This window comes from Homo sapiens, chromosome 17 (assembly GCF_000001405.40).
Source record: "Homo sapiens chromosome 17, GRCh38.p14 Primary Assembly".
NCBI classification, from domain to species: Eukaryota; Metazoa; Chordata; class Mammalia; order Primates; family Hominidae; genus Homo; species Homo sapiens.
Window position 1 is genome coordinate 63,714,360 of NC_000017.11, and position 13,576 is coordinate 63,727,935.

The 13,576-nt window shown below is 42.2% G+C and overlaps 1 protein-coding gene across 16 annotated transcripts in view; it reads right to left on the bottom strand.

Moving 5' to 3' along the window:
- The window catches only part of STRADA (STE20 related adaptor alpha), a 39,155-nt gene that overhangs the window by 11,528 nt on the left and 14,051 nt on the right, over positions 1-13,576 (bottom strand). For 6 of the 16 annotated variants that reach the window (NR_156741.2, NM_001363786.1, NM_001411085.1 and 3 more), the window contains exons 3-4: positions 12,279-12,336; positions 8,939-8,967 (exon numbers count right to left, since the gene is read on the bottom strand). The exons of 6 other annotated variants lie outside the window; for them this stretch is intronic. Coding sequence is in view for 6 of the 10 variants with exons in the window: in NM_001363786.1 (NP_001350715.1) it covers positions 8,939-8,967; positions 12,279-12,336 (87 nt within the window). In the remaining 4 variants the exon portion in view is untranslated. The remainder of the gene's footprint in view (positions 1-8,938; positions 8,968-12,278; positions 12,337-13,576) is intronic. 4 more of the 16 variants (NM_001363790.1, NM_001165970.2, NM_001363791.1 and 1 more) reach the window with 1 other exon arrangement.

Here is a 13,576-nt window from a genome sequence, read left to right on the forward strand (position 1 = left end):
TGCTTGTCCTTTCCAACAATCAATGCATTTGCTAAAAGCTATGAAATTCTCACTTGGAGAAGGGATGTCTAGAGAATGAAAGCATGTTTGGAAAAGAGAAGCAGGTGGAGAGGTAGGGGTTCTCATGAATTTCCTGATGCATTAGGATCCTATTTTTAAGGTCCTCACCACAAGATCCCAAAAGGTCAAACGCTGAATCTTGCTCTAGGGAAAATGTGGCCAGGAGTAGCCCCCTCTTTAGCAAACCAAGAGCCCGGGCCAGTCATTGCCTGACATTTCCAAGTGAAGTGGGAGAACCCTGATGCCCTGAGCTGCAGGCAAGGCACAGAGCTGTCAGGTCTCAGGCATCGTCCAGGCAGCTGACATGGCCTGCTCCCTCGTTCCTGCCCACGTGTGCTGTGAGTGAAGCTGGAGTCCAGCCACTTAGGATGTGTCACAACTCTGGCCTCTAAGGTCCTAGAGGAAGGTGTCCAGCCATGTCTGAGTTTGTGCAAAACACACGGCAGACCAACAGCTCTTCTTTCAGCTTAATGGACTGTTTCCTTCTTCCACACCTAAATTTATGTGTATGATTTAGGGACTGTGACTGCTTTTCTTTTAGATTCTCTTTCTTTAGATGCACATCTAACTGAAATGGAGAAACCTGGGCCAGCTCATGTTTCATGTGCTGCACTCATAAACCTGACCTCCAGGCAGAAAAAGTCCTTTGTGAAAGTATGAGAGGCTCCTGACCCAGCACTACCCAGAAGAGCACGAGCTGAGAGTGTTCTGAAAAGGCGGTGCTTGAACAACTCTTTGGGAAGCGGCTCTGCAGAGGAAACCATAAAGATGACGGTGCTCTATACCTGTAAGATGACCAGAGTATACTTTCCAGAGCACTTCCAAATTGCACATGATTCCTCCATAGCTCAGTCAAGTAGCCGGGACAGATCTTATCTCCACTTTTCACTAACAAAAACGAGGGCCAAGGAGATTATGTGACTTGCCAAAAATCAAAACGTGAGTACATGGCACAGGACCCAGGCCCAAACCAGTGAGATTAATCTACCACCCTGTTGGCTGACGTTTCACGTGTATCTGGTTTGTTTGTTGTTTTGTTGCTGTTGTTTTTAAGATATGGGTTATCTCTTTGTCGCTCAGGCTAAAGTGCAGTGGTGAGTTCCTGGCTCACCGTGGCCTCGAACTCCTGGGCTCAATTGATCCTCCTGCCTCAGCCTCCCAAGTAGCTGAGATTATTGGCAGGAGCTGAGATTATTGGCTGTATGTGGTTTCAAAACAGTTGATGCTGCTGATGGGGAAAGAAACCCTCAAGTGGGCTCTGTCTCCCTCACCACTTACCCTGGCAATAAGAGGAACCTAGTCAAGCAAAATTAAGCCCTGTCACCAAATTCCATTTCTAATTTAATCAATTTTTAAATTTCTAAGATTTGGCCATATTGTTGTATTTCACTGTAGTTCGCCCATTTTCACTGCTGTATCATATATTCAGCACATGAATATATCTCAGTTTATCCAATTCCAACTTTGATGGCTCATTTGGGTTGTTTTTCAGTTCTGCTATTATGGACTGTGCTACTATAAACATGTTTGAATATGTATCCTGACTAAAGCTTGTAATTAGGAGTGGCTGGAATTGCTAGTGACAGAGCATATGAACAATCAACTGTTTGAGACAATGCCAAATTATTTTCCAAAATGGTTATACCAATTTACACTCCCACCAGCAACGTACGTGGTTTTTTTTTTTTTTTTTTTTAGACGGAGTCTCACTCTGTCACCAGGCTGGAGTGCAGTGGCACGATCTTGGCTCAATGCAAGCTCCGCCTCCTGGGTCCAAGCAATTCTCCTGCCTCAGCCTCCCAGGTAGCTGGGACTATAGGTGTGAGCCACCATGCCTGGCTAAGTTTTGTATTTTTTTGTAGAGATGGGGTTTTGCCATGTTGCCCAGCTGGTCTTGAACTCCTGACCTCAAGTGACCCACCCAGCTTGGCCTCCCAAAGTGCTAACATTACAGGCATGAGCCACTGTGCCCGGCCACATGTGTTCTTATTAATTTATCTTTTCCCCAACACTTGGTATTTTCAGATTTCTTAATTTTTGCCAGTCTCATGGATTTGATTTACATTTCCCTGATTACTAATGAAGATGAGGATCTTTTCATATATTTATCAGTCATGTGAGCGTTCTCCAAGGTGAAAATGCCTCTTCCTGTCTCTTGACCATTTTCCTGTTGTTTCAGTGCAGGATTTCCCCAAAGTAGGCCCCACGGAACTCTGATTCTGCCAGTTGGATGGAAAAAGTTTCCATGTCCAGTGAAGTTAGGAAATGCAGCACACTCTCTCATGGAGGATCACAAGGTGTACGTCCATATTAAAGGCACTGAGAAATTCTGTAGTAAGAAAACTTACTGTGTTTAACCCAGCATTTCCCAAAGAGATCTGTCTAGGGAACCTTTTGTGCCTAACATCTGTTAAATTTTGGGAAAGATAATTGGGAAAGGCTGTTTTAAATAAAACATATGCTACAATGCAAAGAGCATAGGCTTATGGGCCACATAGAGGCAGAATTTGAACTCAGGTCTATTACTGGTTCTGTGACCCTGGGCAAGTCACTCTGATCTCTTGGGATCTCCATTATATCAGCAGCTGAATAATTTCCATCTCATAGTGTTGTATCTATTAGATGAGATAAAATATGTTAAGAGCTTAGTGCTACCTGGTGTATAAAAGACATTCAATACATGTGAATCCTATTCTCCTCCTCCTTCTATTGCTCTCTACTTTTTGGTGACTCTCCTGTTGAACAAATAAAATGGAAAAGAGAAAATGGAGGAAACAGAATCCTAAGCAGAGCTTGATCAGTAAAGTTGATTTGATACTGGTTTTTATACTTATCTGTGTTTTCTAATGCTCTCAAAATAAATTCTAGGATCATTAAATTTTATTTTATTTTATTTATTTATTTTTGAGACGGAGTCTCACTTTGTCACCCAGGCTGGAGTGCAATGGCGTGATCTCAGCTCACTATAGCCTCTGCCTTTTGGGTTTAAACGATTCTCCTGCCTCAGCCTTATAAGTAGCTGGGACTACAGGTGCGAACCACCATGCCCGGCTAAGTTTATTTATTTATTTATTTATTTTAGACAGACTCTCACTCTGTTGCCCAGGCTGGAGTGCAGTAGTGCGATCTCAGCTTACTGCAACCTCTGCCTCCTGGGTTCAAGTGATTCTCCTGCCTCAGCCTCCCAAGTAGCTGGGATTACAGATGCCTGCCACCACCCCTAATTTCTGTATTTTTAGTAGAGACAGGGTTTCACCATGTTGGCCAGATTGGTCTCGAACTCCTGACTTCAAGTGATCTACCCGCCTCAGCCTCTCAAAGTGCTGGGATTACAGGTGTGAGCCACCATGCCCAGCTAATTTTTGTATTTTTAGTAGAGACAGGGTTTCACCATGTTGGCCAGACTGGCCTTGAACTCCTGGACCTCAAGTGATCCTCCCACCTTGGCCTCTCAAAGTGCTGGGATTATAGGCGTGAGCCACCATGCCTGGCCTAGGATCACTAAATTTTTAAAAATTATTATTATTATTATTTGAGATAGGCTCTCAATATGTCACCCAGGCTGGAGTGCAGTGGCAAGATGATGGCTCACTGCAACCTCAATCTCCCAGGCTCAAGCAGTCCTCTCAAGTGGCTAAGACTACAGGCATGTGCCACCACGCCTAGCTAATTTTTGTATTTTTTGTAGAGATGAGGTCTCCCTATGTTGCTCAGGCTGGTCTCAAACTCCTGGGCTCAAGCGATTCTCTTGCCTCGGCCTCCCAAAGTACTGGGATTACAGGCTTGAGCCACTGCACCCTGCTGACTCTAGCTTTTTGAAACGATCTCATCTTCAGAATCATCTTAAGATGTTAAGATACTGGTTACCACATGCCAGGTACCTCACCAAGGTGAGAGAGATACACAACCAGGAGGCAAAAATGGAGCAGCAATTTGAGCAAAAAGCCTCAAGCAAGAGTTCTGAAATGACAACTCTCCATCGGTTTAGAATTCACAACGCTCATTTGGTCTTGAAGTGTCTCATTTTCTCAACCTTATATACGCCTAACTCCTGCACATATTCTTGCTCTGCAGATTCTGTTTTCTTAAGTATTAATCTATTCCTTAATAAAATCAATGTTAACAGTTAATAGAAAGCTCAGTGGGTTGCTTTCAGACCCAAACTCCCCACCCCAGCCTATGAGTATACAAATGATTTGGCCCTTGCCTACCTCTGTGATCTCATTCCACACCACGCTCGCCTGACTTGAACAATATTCCCACATAAACAAGTGTGTTCCAGTCTCAGGAAACTTGCACTAACTGTCCCTTTGGAACCCTCCTAGCCTCCTCCTTCCCTTGACCCTGCTATTTTTCTCATGGCTACCTCCTCAACATCACTGATGTCTCAACTTAAATGTCCTTTTCAGAGAGACTGCCCAGCCAAAGTAAACTAGGCTCCTGGTCACGTTATCAGACAGCCTTGCTTTCCTTTCTTCACAGAAGTTACCATTGCAGCTTATTTCTCTAAAATCTTCCACTAAAGTTTCTTCCATTAAAATGCAAGCACCAGAAAGGCAGGGACCTTGTCTGTCATGTTCACTGATGTATTCCCCCAGTGCCTGGAACACCGCTGGCAAATGCTTAAAAAATGAAAATGATTTAAGCAAAGTTTGAACTGAGGCTTTCTGCCCATGATCTTTTCATTCCCACGGGCTAAAGAAGAGAATAGGTCAATGCAGCCAGTTCCTTTGGTAACGGGTTCAGCATGATGACCTATGCTGGAAATGCCAGCCTCATAATGACACAGTCGTTAGATTCCTGTGTTACTCAGAACACTCTATAGACCAGAATCTGATTCCTGCATGTGAGAAAGTACTGCATTTTTCAGTAGGTAACAATATGGCCTCAATGAGAGGCAACTACTTTGTATCTGAAGGTCTTCGTGCATCTGCTCTCTAAGCAAACTCCTTAAAATTTCTCTCACTTGAAAAAGAGACTATGAAAGACAGCTGAGTCCTGAGATTCAAATATTCATTTTATGTACTTTAAATAACTCCCTTTGGAGAAACCACAGATAGATACTACTTTTTTTTTTTTTTTGAGACAGAGTCTCGCTCTATCGCCCAGGCTGGAGTGCAATGGCGCGATCTCGGCTCACTGCAACCTCCACCTCCCAGGTTCAAGTGATTCTCCTGCCCCAGCCTCCTGGGTAGCTGGGATTACAGGTGCGTGCTACCATGCCCGGCTAATTTTTGCATTTTTAGTAGAGATGGGGTTTCATTGTGTTGGCCAGGCTGGTTTCAAACTCCTGACCTCAGGTGATGCGCGCACCTCGGCCTCCCAAAGTGCTGGGGTTACAGGCGTGAGCCATGGCGCCCGGCAGATAGATACTTCATTACCTATGTCCCTCTTCCTTGTCAGGCGTGCATATAAGCTTATAAGACATATTGTCTACTAGGCTATACACTAAGACACATTCTTGCTAAGCCTAGGTAGGGAATGATTCATTAAACTATCAATGTGCTTAGTTAGTAACTTGACAATATTTATTTCTACTCTCCAGTATTACAGAAAACTACCAAAACTAACCCAAAAGTATTAGTTTTAGAAAATAAAATTCTTTTTCTTTTTTTTTTTTGAGACAGGGTCTCACTCTGTCACCCAGGCTGGAGTACAGTGGCATGATCATAGTTCACTACAGCCTCGAACTCCAGGGCTCAAGCGGATCCTCCCACCTCAGCCTCCCAGGTATATGCCACCATGCCAAGCTAATTTTTTTTTTTTTTAATTAGGGACAGAGTCTCACTCTGTCTCCCAAGCTGGAGTGCAATGGCGCTATCCTAGCTCACTGCAGCCTTGAACTCCTGGGCTTAAGGGATTTTTCTGCCTCATCTTCCTGGGTAGCTAGGACTACCAGTGTGCGCTACCATGCCTGGCTAGTTTTTTTGTTTTTAGAGATGGGGTCTCACTATGTTGCCCAGGCTGGCTTCAAATTCCTGGCCTCAAGTCATCCTCCTGCCTCAGCCTCCCAAAGTGCTGGGTTTACAGGTGTGAGCCACCACACCTGGCCTTTAGAAAATAAAGTTCTGGGGGCTGGGCGAGGTGGCTCACACCTGTAATCCCAGCACTTTGGAAGGCCGAGGCAGGCGGATCACAAGGTCAGGAGATTGAGACCATCCTGGCCAACACAGTGAAACCCTGTCTCTACTAAAACTACAAAAAATTAGCTGGGCATGGCAGCGGGCACCTGCAGTCCCAGCTACTCGGGAGGCTGAGGCAGGAGAATGCCGTGAACCCGGGGAGGCAGAGCTTGCAGTGAGCTGAGATCGCGCCACTGCACTCCAGCCTGGGCGACAGAGCGAGACTGTTTAAAAAAAAAAAAAAAAAAAGTAAAAAAAGAAAATAAAGTTCTTGGCCAGGCATGGTGGCTCACGCCTGTAATCCCAGCACTTTGGGAGGCTGAGACAGGTGGATCATCTGAGGTCAGGAGTTCGAGTCCAGCCTGACCAACATGGTGAAACCCTGTCTCTACTGAATACAAAAAATTAGCTGGGTGTGGTGGCACATGTCTGTAATCCCAGCTACTTGGGAGGCTGAGGAAGGAGAATCGCTTGAACCCAGGTGGCAGACGTTGCAGTGAGCTGAGATTGCACCATTGCACTCCAGCCTGGGCAACAAAAGTGAAGCTCCGGCTGGGCGTGGTGGCTCACGCCTGTAATCCCAGCACTTTGGAAGGCCGAGGCAGGCGGATCACAAGGTCAAGAGAACGAGACCATCCTGGACAACATGGTGAAACTCCGTCTCTATTAAAAGTATAAAAATTAGCTGGGCGTGGTGGCGGGTGCCTGTAGTCCCAGCTACTCGGGAGGCTGAGGCAGGAGAATCGCTTGAACCCGAGAGGTGGAGGTTGCAGTGAGCCGAGATCATGCCATTGCACTCCAGCCTGGGTGACAGAGTGAGACACCGTCTCAAGAAAAAATAAAATAAAAAAAAATAAAGTGAAGCTCCATCTCAAAAAAAAAAAAAAAAGTTCTTGACTGGGCACGGTGGCTCACGCCTGTAATACCAGGACTTTGGGAGGCTGAGTAGGGTAGATCACTTGAGGTCAGGGGTTCGAGACCAGCCAACATAGTGAAACCCTGTCTCTACTAAAAATATAAAAATTAGCTGGGTGTGATGGCACAGGCCTGTAATCCCAGCTACTCGGGAGGTTGAGGCAGGAGAATTGCTTGAACCCAGGAGGCAGAGGTTGCAGTAAGCCGAGATCGCACCACTGCACTCCAGCCTGGGCAACAGAGTGAGATTCGGTCTCAAAAAAAAAAAAAAGAAAGAAAGAAAATAAAGTTCTTTATGAAACTGGCAATATGAGCTCACAGGCAATCTGGAATTGCATAAAATGAACTAGTCCAGTGATAGCAACTGCTCTGTCCCCAGCTTACTAGGAATGATTCTAAAATGGAGGCCTTCTACTTTGTGGATATTGTATAGGTCCGAACTCAAAGAGAGACCAAACTTCATTTAGGAAAACAAACAAACAAACAAGGAAACAGGCAATATTTTGAAAGGAAGAAGTCTAGATCATCTGACATTGCCACAAGAAACGCAGGTTAGTTCATCACACTGTTTCAGTTTTAGAACAGGTCTAAACTCAGATAAAAAGAATGAACTATTTAGCCCATTCTCTTTAAATGCAGCATGGCATAGTTTAATTAGTGCAATGTAATAATCTCCAATTGCTCATAGAAAGGAACTAATTCTGTCAAAGTGTTTTCTTAGTTTCCCCCACCATGAAATGCATTTTATTCATTTTGAAGCATCTGAAAAATAAATAAGCAGCTGATATCCAGAAATGACCATAAAATAACTGTGTTTAAAGAGTTTAAAACAAAATACAGTAAAGCACACAAAGACAATATTCACAAAATGCTACCAAATAAACACATTCAACTTCCCACAGGTTTCACACAGGATAACTTTTGATATAACATCAGCAGCTGTAAAAATATAAAAATCCTATGTAATTGGCATCGTATTCTAGAAAAATAGCTAACTGAGCCTATAGGGAACGTTTTTGGTCTTCAGATTGGAAAGCATTTGGATCTGATAGAGAGGTGCTCCTGATTAGCAGATGACATAAGCACAGCCAAAGCTTTACTCAGAAATTCCCAGTCAACATCACTGTCCTTCACTCAACCTTAGGGCTGCTGCAGAAGCTGCAAATGTCTGCAATCTGAACAGAGTCAGAAGTCTAGGTAGGAAAGGTTCTTATCCTCTCTCCTTATAAGACACTGATTCATATATTCCAAAATAGCTTGGTACACTGTGCACATCTGGTGCTATTTATTTAAGTAAAATAAACTAGAAGAGAAGGAAACAGGGTAAGAATCTTGCAGCTTTCACCAATGAAAAAAGTAAATGTTCTGTTTTATACTTTTTAATTTTGCTTTTGTTTTTTAAGGTAAGAGATTTGAGGTCCTGTCTTATTATCTAGGCAGAGATCTGTATTATCTCTGTGGACTAAAATCTATTATTAATAAACTAAGGACGGAAAATTTAATAACATTAGTCACTAAACAATAACCGTATTTCTGACTGTTGAAACTTACTTTTTTGGGGGAAGGGGTGGCAGTCGATTGGCAGGGCTGGGGAGAGGAGGAGACCTTAATCCCCAGAAGAGACAAAAACTACCTGAGACTTTTTTCAGTTTTCAAACTACACATCCAAATTTTTCCAGGGTGAAACCTGAATCTCCACAAGTACAAAAATCACACTACAAATAAAGCTCAGTGACAGATAAGCAGAAACATAAAATGATAAGCCAACAAAACACACAAACTTCCACAAGAAGTCATCTCCATGCAACAGCCATAGTGCTAGGGCCTAGGAAGCCACTTACTTTTCTCCGAGTGTCACCCGGAGGCTGCTCTGGGGTAGAGAAATTGATTGTTGGCATTTTGTGTTTTAGCAGAAGACACACCCACATTCAGAACAGCAATTATTGTACTTAGGACTACATTTATTAATAGAAACCACTTAAAAGTCATTACAGCAAAAAGTGCCTGCGGGGCTACATATAAACACACACAGATCCACAGTAAAAATGCTGCAGAGAGATAGGGCTTTAAACATGGATCTATGGTTCTTCAAAAGGTGGCAAGGCTACTACTCTATGGGTATTCTTTACTGGATAGAACTCAACTCTTACATTTCTGGTCATACATTTACTTGGCATCAACACACAATGTTATTATGAATAGGCCAGTTCCTTATATTTTGTGAATAAACAATTGATTATATAGTTACAGAGATGGTTGGCCATTTCCCAGTGAGTGTGGGAACTAGAAAACATGTTTTTTCAAAAAAGGGCAAAAAGTTTTAAAATAGCAACACGTGTATGAAGGACCATTACCCAACCTGATTCTCTAAAGTCAGATATATTTGATTCTAAATGTAAATAAAGCAAAGGCATTTTGGCGCTCTGCTTGTCCTAGTGAAAATGAACAAAACAAAGGACAACTGAAATAACTTTCTGTTCTTAAGCCAAATTCTGTATGTGCTTTTGACCTTCTCTATTCTGTAAAAGTGATAAAAATCACCAAACTGAAGATTTTTAACTGTAAAATATTGGGGTGATTATACATTTCTAATTATCTTAAATTATACAATTCTAAATACCTTAAACTACAAAATCAGAAAAGTCTAGTTACCAAGGAAAATGCTTTCTTCTTTTTAATTTTTTTTTTAATTTTTTATTTTTTGGAGGCAGAGTCTTGCTTTATCCCCTAGGCTGGAGTGCAGTGGTGTGATCCTGGCTCACTGCAACCTCCGCCTCCCGGGTTCAAGCGATTCTCCTGCCTCAGCCTCCCAAGTAGCTGGGATTACAGGTGCCTGCCACCACGCCTGGCTAATTTTTATGTTTTTAGTAGAGATGGGGTTTTGCCATGTTGGCCAGGCTGGTCTCCAACTCCTGACCTCAGGTGATCTGCCTGCCTCAGTCTTCCAAAATGCTGGGATTACAGGTGTGAGCCACTGCGCCTGGCCTACCTTTTTTTTTTTTTGAGACGGAGTCTCCCTCTGTCGCCCAGGCTGGAGTGCAGTGGCACGATCTTGGCAATTCTCCTGCCTCAGCCTCCTGAGTAGCTGGGATTACAGGCGTGCGCCACCATGCTGACTATCTTTTTTTTGTCTTTTTAGCAGAGATGGGGTTTTCACCATATTGCCAGGCTGGTCTTGAACTCCCGACCTTGTGATCTGCCCACCTCGGCCTCCCAAAGTGCTGGGATTCCATGCATGAGCCACCGTGCCCAGCCTCATTGTTTACTTTGAAACCATTTTATTCCCATTAATGATGGGAAGAAAATGAGAATAGGAACAGAATGTGGTATTTTTGTTCCACTATCCTTTCCTTTACTGTGCATCTAACTAATTCTTTCCAACTAAAATATAAAGAACTCATCATTATTCTAAACTCCCATTTATCTAAAACATAATACTTTGACAAAGTTCACAGATATCACTAGTCCAGAAATTCTTTGAGATGTGTTAGGGAAAATAATAGGTACCACCTAGTAACTAACAAGTTTGAGTTTTCAATTACTTAAACCTATCCCTGACCTTGTGATCCGCCCGCCTGGGCCTCCCAAAGTGAAACCCTGTCTCTACTAAAAATACAAAAAAAATTTAGCCGGGCATGGTGGTGTGATCCTGTAATCCCAGCTACTCAGGAGGGCTGAGGCAGGAGAATCTCTTGAACCCGGGAGGCGGAGTTTGCAGTGAGCCGAGATCGTGCCACTGCACTCCAGCTTGAGCGACAGAGCGAGACTCTGTCTCAAAACAAAACAACAACAAAATAAAACAAGACCAAAAAAACCTATCTGGGCGTATTTTGGATCAGCTAACCAATGTACTCAATCTGATAATCTGTTTTTTAAATTTCCTTCTTATTTTATTTTTTGAGACGGAGTCTCAAAAACTCAGCCTTGCTCTGTCGCCCAGGCTGGAGTGCAATGGCGTGATCTTGGCTCACTGCAACCTCCACCTCGCGAGTTCAAGCCATTCTCCTGCTTCAGTCTCCCTAGCAGCTGGGACCACAGGTGTGCATCACCATGCCCGGCTAATTTTTGTATTTTTAGTAGAGATGTGGTTTCACCACGTTGGCCAGCCTGGTCTTGAACTCCTGACCTCAGGTGATCCGCCTGCCTCGGCCTCCCAAAGTGCTGGGATTACAGGCGTGAGCCACCGTGCCCGGCCGATAATCTGTTTCTTTCTTTCCTTTTTTTTTTCTTTGAGACGGAGTCTAGCTCTGTTTCCCAGGCTGGAGTGCAGTGGCGCGATCTCCGCTCATTGCAAGCTCCGCCTCCTGGGTTCACGCCATTCTCCTGTCTCAGCCTCTGGAGTAGCTGGGATTACAGGCACCCACCACCACGCCCGGCTAATTTTTTTGTATTTTTAGTAGAGACGGAGTTTCACCATGTTAGCCAAGATGGTCTCGATCTCCTGATCTCGTAATCTGCCCACCTCGGCCTCCCAATGTGCTGGGATTACAGGCGTGAGCCACCATACCCGGCCGGTAATCTGTTTCTTAAACTATAGGATCCTAAAAGAGTATCTTAGAATTCAGACACAAAGAATGGGGCTCTACTATTATTTTTATTGAAAATAATTTTTGTTGCCCTAAATTAAGATGACAGTTCCCAAAAAGGCTCACTTTGAAAATGGCCAAAGGGTAATGCCTAGGCCTGTCAAAGTTTACTTCTGAAATCAACAGTCAGGTTTTACAATAGGAAGTTCATATTTTTGTTCTGAAAGATTTTTCCTTAGTTCTCTTAAATCTCATAATTTCTACCATGAAAAAATGAGTCAACTAGATTCATCAATAAAACCAGAACTTTCATATCATTGCTTCCTTTGTCTTGACAATTATTTTTTAAATCAAGGCTACAGACTTTTAAATAGTTTTCTTCCTTTAAAAATATGTATTTCACCTGGACAAAAGAAAACATATATGCTTTTAAGTAAATACTGGCTTTCTAACAATCAAGACAGGCCAAGGAAAATTGCCATGTTAGTCTTCAAATCTTTGGGAAACCATAAATTCAAAAAGGAACCAAAGAAATCCAACAACTGTAGGTTACACTTGCCCTTAGAATTGCCAATTGCTATAGATTGATTTAGTCAACAAAAAAGTAGTGATTTTTATATCCTGAAGTGATGGCTAAATGCCATACTGTACTTACCTCCAAATAGTTCCAAATCTCTTAAGCCCTCAACAATGAACTTTTCCGAGACCCACCGCTAAAGAGGAAAACCCCAAAGAGAATTAGTATTTCTTCCAAGCCGCAACAAATTAGCTATCAGCCTTTAGACAGACAAACAAAATCCCAACTATGAAAACAGAATCATGCAGTACAGTTAGGAATCATTTCTATGGAAAAGTTTTTAACAGAATCTTGAACTAAAAACAAGATTCCTTTCTCCACTCCTCTTTGCCTATTTGATGAATAATTCTTAAATTTGACAGATGAGAAATAGATAGTACTGGCTGTAATAATGAAGACTGTTTTTGCCTTCCCTATATTGGTTCCATCTTACTCGTTCTACATTACAGATGCCTTGGATCACTGATGTCAATTTGAAAACTATTACTGGAATTCATAACACAGAAAACAGAGATGAAACAGTAGTTATTCACAAGACCCTGTTAGTTTGTAAAATGGCACACAACAAGTTGCATATTCTTTATCCACTAGGGGTTCTAAAGACATGGCTGCTTACATTTTCTGCCAAGTTCACAAGGGCCAAACTAGTAAGACCAAACTAGCAGGATCAATCTATGGCTCACTTTACTGGCCTATTTCAAACGAGTATTAGATTTCTGTCATTCTGATCAGTGGTTTCGTTTCACCTGAATTAGGCTACGTTGAAGCAGACAAGGAGCTCATATTTAAAAGCAATGGAATCAAGATTGTATTTCCCTTAAGGACTGGTGTTACACTTTGGCTTGGGGGCATTCTTTCCACTGGGCAGAGTTCAGGCTATGGAGAGATTCCTTTTTTCCTCTTAATTAACAGTGAAGTTTACTCTTTCTAATATAAATTGTTCTTATATGCATAAACATTAGAAAAAAGATTAAGTAACATTCAGAAATAAGTTGCATGATACAGACTGTGAATTGGAACTATAGCATCTTCTGCCCTTACCTATAACTATTTTTTCCAAATCAAAAAAGAAGTAATATCCTAAATTGAAAACTTCATAAAAATTATATGCACTGCATCAAAAAACATAAATTATGCTTTAATATGTAAAGAAAGTGGTATACTCATAATATCTCATAGCACTTATACACTGTTACAAAATTCTAAAATAATTACAACTGCATTTAGAAATTAGGTACTTGATAATAAAGAAAATAAGAAACTCATGAAATAATGGGAATTTGTAAAGAAGCTAAATCTAGTATTGTTTTTGAAATCATTTTATCTGACGAAGTTTTGAAGTATAATAAAATCTTTCATGTTCAAAATGTCTTCAA